The sequence below is a fragment of the Homo sapiens genome, chromosome 19, assembly GCF_000001405.40.
Source record: "Homo sapiens chromosome 19, GRCh38.p14 Primary Assembly".
Classification (NCBI taxonomy): domain Eukaryota; kingdom Metazoa; phylum Chordata; class Mammalia; order Primates; family Hominidae; genus Homo; species Homo sapiens.
In genome coordinates this window covers 21,694,459-21,700,336 of record NC_000019.10, presented here as the reverse complement: position 1 = coordinate 21,700,336, position 5,878 = coordinate 21,694,459, and the positions used below count along the sequence as shown (strand labels likewise).

Genomic DNA, 5,878 nt, shown 5'->3' with positions numbered 1-5,878 from the left:
AATTTCATAAGCCATACAAGTGTCAACTGCATTTTCAAAATTATAAGAACTTAAGAGTAAACTAAACTGATACAGTTCAGTTTAAAAAGTAAACTACTTTTTATTTGCCTTTGTGATAAGAATCACCTGTATTTATTTTGGAACAAACAAGAAATTATATGGTGGTAACTTGCTGGGTGCTGACTGTGATGGTATTTACTTTCCTAGGGATAGGAAGATCCAGTGGACCAGAATCATAAGCACCTTGCCATGTTCATTGCTGTTCTTTTTTTCTGTGACTAAGATTCATTTCCCAGACTCTGAAATGGCTGCATTGTCTGGGGTAAATACCTGGGGTTTGTTGTCTCACACGAGGAAAATTTAGAACACGAACACACACGAGGATTGATTTTGGGGTGGAAAGTTTAATAGACAACACGCCTGTAATCCCAGCACTTTGGGAGGCCGAGGCAGGTGGATCACGAGGTCAGGAGATCGAGACTATCCTGGCTAACACGGTGAAACCCCGTCTCTACTAAAAATACAAAAAATTAGCCGGGCGTGGTGACGGGCGTCTGTAGTCCCAGCTACTCGGGAGGCTGAGGCAGGAGAATGGCGTGAACCCGGGAGGCAGAGCTGGCAGTGGGCCGAGATGGCGCCACTGCACTCCAGCCTGGGCGACAGAGTGAGACTCCGTCTCAAAAAAAAAAAAAAAAAAAAAAAAAGAAAGTTTAATAGGCAAAAATAACAGAGAGAGAGAAAGCTCCTCATGCTGAGAAACAGGGTCACCTAAAAAATTTCCTGGTTGCGGGTAGAACACAATTGATTTTGTAGAGAAGCTTGAGGAGTCAGTGATTGATTTACATAGGGCACAGGAGATTGGTTGACCAGGTGTGCCATTTACATAACCCATGCAAAGGCTGGCCCTCCCACCCTAGTCTTTTATTATGCAAATGTAGCTTCTACCTGTCACCATGATACCTGCTCACGTGGCTTTACCTGGCTGGTGCCATGACACCCACACAAGTGGTGTCAAAGAAAAAAGAGGAGGAATTCACCTCTGTTGAAATGTACTTGCCTTTTAATACAGCCGCCTGCATTTACAAATGAAAGTCTCCAGCCTGCTTATCAGCTTGCAGCTTGACTTTTCAGGCTGTTTTCTGTTAGAAAAGAATTGGCTTTGGGGCTGCTTTTTATTAAAGAAAAATTCTAGTGAGAGAACTCTTTTACCCTCTCTAAATGCCTAAAATAATTTCTTAATAACTCCTATATTATTCTCCCCTCAGGAGACGTATTCCTAACTGCTGTTAGGGGGTGTCAGATGACGAATCTTTCAAGATACTTCCTGCTGAAAAGGGCCATCATGTTGGGGAACAGCAGTTAGGGCTCCTCCTGAGGTTGATCTAAGAGTTCTTGAAAAAAAATGGTGTGTCCAGGCCAGGTGCAGTGGCTTATGCCTGTAATCCCAGCACTTTGGGAGGCCGAGGCAGGTGAATCACCTGAGGTCAGGAATTCAAGACCAGCCTGGCCAACATGGTGAAACCGCATCTCTAATAAAAACACAAAAATTATCCAGACTTGGTGTTGCGTGCCTGTAATCCCATCTACTAGGGAGGCTGAGGCAGGAGAATTGCTTCAACCTGGGAGGCGGAGGTTGCAGTGAGCCGATATCTCACCACTGCACTCCAGCTTGGGTGACAGAGCGAGACTTCGTCTTAAATCAAACAAACAAACAATAAAAAAAAAGAATGGTGTGTCCTCGTGTGGCTCTGTTTGCAGCACCTAGGCAAAAAAGAGATAATTTTTACCAGAAGGTTTTGAAGACAGGATTAGAATATTCATATTAAGATGACCGCTGCTAGTGGGGTAATACAACCTTATGGTATAATAGCAGAGTTCTACACCTGTTAGTTGTCCCAATGGATTGTAATACTGGTTTGCCTCCACTAGATGTTGCTGTACATTACCAGAAACGTTAATATAAAAGTAACATTTTCTTTGAGAAAAACATACATTTTCCCCTTGACTTGCCATTAGGGAATACTTTTAGGTTTAGGCCATTTTTATAACTTTCAATATGATTGGGAGAAATACATCATCCGGTGGCTAAAGTAACTTTAGTGTTAATCTTGGCAATGCCTTTCCTTTAATTATTCAACTCTTTATTTCCACAGACCATCTTATAACAAACTTTCTGACTTGTCCTAAACATCCATTCTTTAAACAACCAGTCATCTCCTTTTAGAACAAGAATTTAACATACAAGATTCTTCCTTATATAAAATCTTTCTTTATAACTGTCTTTCTGTAGCTTACAGTGCACCATATTACCAATTTTTTTTTTTTTTGAGACAAAGTCTTGCTCTTGTCCCCCAGGCTGAAGTACAATGGCATGATCTCTTGATACCCTACCTTGTTTTAACCTGATTATCTCTCTTAGCTGAGAGAGCCGGACAGACTCCATTTTATTTCCTTCACTTACAGCCCCTTTACCTCCCTCCCTTAAGGGCATAACTAGTGCAAGCTGACTCCAAGCACGTCCAGGAATGCACTTACTGATAAGATATTGAGGCAAGCTGAACCAGCAGCTCCTGGGGACGCACCTAAAACCCCTGCATTTACCTCTTTGTGATAGTTTAAACCCCTGCACCTGGAACTGTTTATTTTTCTGTAACTGCTTCTGTAACCAATTAATTTTTTTAACTTTCTGCCTGTTCTACTTCTGTAAAAATTGCTTTAGCTAAACTCCGCCTCCCCTATTTAGACCACGATATAAAAAAAATCTAGCCCCTTCTTCGGGGCCGAGAGAATTTTGAGCACTAGCTGTCTCTCGGTCACCGGCAATAAAAGGACTCCTGAAATTAGTCTCAGAGTGTGGCGTTTCTCTACAACTCGCTCGGTTACAACATTTGGAAGCCCCAGCAAGATAATTGCCACCTGGTGAGTGCCGGACTCGCTCCAGGCTCTCCTGGCTGGACAGCGGGCTTATAGGGGAGGCACCTCCTGAAGCTGTTCCAGAGACCCGTAGGCCACTGTCTTCCGGAGGGGAACGGATCGACTGCCGGTGTGTGCCCTCCAAAATCAACTCCTGAGTCCTGCATTTCTGGTCCTGGGAAGGTAAGTCAGATCTGACTCTGTTTCTCTGGGAGGGAAGCGGCCCTGACGAGGGCGTCCTTCTGACTCTGCCCATATTCCAGGATGCTGGAGGACGGAGTCCTGGTTTCTGTCAGCCTTCTCTGTTAAGACTAGCCTCTCTCTCTCTCTCTCTCTCTCTCTCTCTCTCTCTCTCTCTCTGTCTTTCTCTCTGTCTTTCTCTCTCTCTCTTTTTATCTCTTCTCCTTCTCTCATTCAGGTTTCTAGGAGACCTCTGTTTTAGAATGGGAATAAAGAATTGTGATAAACTCTGTGTAAGTGTGTGTGTGAATGTGGGGTTCAAGGGCTTGTCCTTGAATTTCCAGTTTGCAGCTCCACGGTGAAAGCTACGGAGTTGGAGTGGGCCCTCACCTGTGGTTCCGTGGCGACCTCATAAGGCTTAAGGCAGCATCGGGCATAGCTTGATCTGAGCCGGTGGGTTTATACCGGTCTGCCAATGCCAAGAGGAGCCTAAGTCCCCTCCGGCGGAGCAGCCAGGTGGGCATCTGGCTGATCCCATCACGGGACCCCCTCCCCTTGTCTGTCTATAAAAATTGTCATAATTGTTTGTATACCCCGGTGTCTCTTGTCCTGTCTGGTGTCTGTCTAAGTTTCACATGTCAGGTCATCGATATTTCCGAAGATGACTGGGCAAGAACTTCTTTAAAGTCCTGAATGCAGATTTTCTAACACAGGAGGTCAAATTTCTCATCAGTCATTTGGGCTGGTCTTCCCAGTCCTGCCTTTTCTGTCAGAAACAAATCAGGTGTTGTTACGGGGAGGCGTGTGGGGAACATTTGCCCGTTTGGGATTTCTGGCACCATAAAGATTGCTAGCATTTGGATTGCCACACCCCATGCCCCAGTGACTGGACCACCTCTGCCTTAGACCAGTGGTGGATTCAAAATAGCCACCCTGCAGTCCTCCTTGCTCACCTTTTCTGTCATCCCATAACTTTTCCCATGCCCTTAGATAAGGCACTGTGCAGAGAAACCTGTGCCCATACTGCTTTACTCCACCTGGATTCTTATTCTATCCCTCTGGCTACTCTCCTACCTTAGAAAAGATCAGAGTGGCCCCTTTCCTCCTCATCCCCATCCCTTACCCCACCCATCTTGTTTTCCTGTGTCACAGCAAGTCCAACGTCCAATGACTCTACTCTCCCTCCTAAAATCCTTAAAAGAAAGGGCCAACTTTAAACTTTTTGCCTTTGAGTCGTGGAGATACCAAAGATATTTGGGCTATAAGTCAGAAAGGAGGGGAGGATCACATAGGTCCCACTGGCCTCAGACCCACCTCTTGTCCTCCCCCTAGATCTCAAAGCTTAAAGAAACAGAACTTATGTGACAAGAAGTGTTGGCTATAGTTGTTTTCCTACTTCTTCTGGTTATAATACTTCTGTTCTTCCTATACTACAGCCCCCCAGATTGTGAATTTCTCTGTCCATGCTGAGTTTAATATTTCGCCTAGACCTTGTTAATTGCCTCCAGAATGGGGAACTCTTCTTCCTGGCCCCATAAAGATTGGAGCCCTTCCAATATACGTTACAAAATTCCTCTCTGGGCTTCTCAGAGGATTATGGAGTCTGCCTTAAGAAAGCAAACTCTGGACACTTTATGAAGTGGAATGGCCACAGTTTGGAACCAGGTGGCCCCTAGAAGGGTCACTGAATCTCACAACTGTGCAGACTGTGTGGCAGGTCATTGCTGGAACTCCCGGACACCCCAATCAGTTTCCTTACATTGATCAATGGCTAGATTTGGTCCAGAGCCCTCCTCCATGGCTCTGCTCATGCACCATTCATGATCCCACCTCCCAGGTCCTTTTGAGCCCGACTGCACTTTTGCCCCAACCCTCAGCTCCCTCGGCTCCTCCTGTACTGCCTCCTTCTAAAGAAGAGGAAAGTTTTCCTCACCCATGTTTGCCACCCTACAACCCTCCTGCTCTCCCAGAATCTTCCCATGTCTCCTTGACTACATGCTCTGTGGCTTCTCCACCTATAGCCACCCAATTACGGCCTCAGCCAGAGGAGGTGGCCCCTCTCCTCCTGCTGAGAGAGGCCCAAATCCCTCCAGGCAGTGAGCGCTCTGCTCCATTTTTAGTTTATGTCCCCTTCTCTACTTCTGACCTGTACAATTGAAAGGTTCATAATCCCCCCTACTCTGAAAAGCCCCAGGTCTTGACCTCACTGATGGAATCCATGCTCCGGACTCACTGGCCCACCTGGGATGCCTGTCAGGAACTCCTTTTAACACTTTTCACCTCTGAAGAGAGGGACTGTATCTGAAGGGAGGCTAGGAAGTATTTCCTTACATCAGCCGGTAGACCAGAGGGGGAAGCCCAAGACCTCCTAGTGGAGGTTTTTCCCTCTACCCGGCCCAGTTGGGATCCAAACTCCTCATGGGGAAAGACAGCTTTGGATGATTTTCACTGGTATCTCCTTGTGGGTATCAAAGGAGCAACTCAAAAACCCATAAATTTATCTAAGACAACTGAAGTTTTCTAGGGGCCTGATGAGTCACTGGGAGCATTTTTGGAACACCTCCAGGAGGCCTATTGGACTTACACCCCTTTTGAGCCAGCGGCTCCTAAGAATAGCCGTGCTATTAATTTGGCATTTGTGGCTCAGGAGGCCCCTGATATTAAAAAGAAATTACAAAAATTAAAGGGATTTGCTGGAATGAATATCATTCAGCTTTTAGAAATAGCACAGAAAGTTTTTGACAATCAAGAGTTTGAAAAACAAAAAGAGGCATCTCAGGCAGCT

At 45.7% G+C, this 5,878-nt stretch overlaps 1 annotated feature.

The window, feature by feature from the left end:
• Positions 1,010–1,510: an enhancer, noted in NCBI's record as "H3K27ac hESC enhancer chr19:21881629-21882129 (GRCh37/hg19 assembly coordinates)". NCBI's record gives its function as "activates a minimal SCP1, AML or CMV promoter by ChIP-STARR-seq in primed H9 embryonic stem cells {active_cell/tissue: H9 hESC(primed)}" and the evidence as "EXISTENCE:reporter gene assay evidence [ECO:0000049][PMID:30033119]".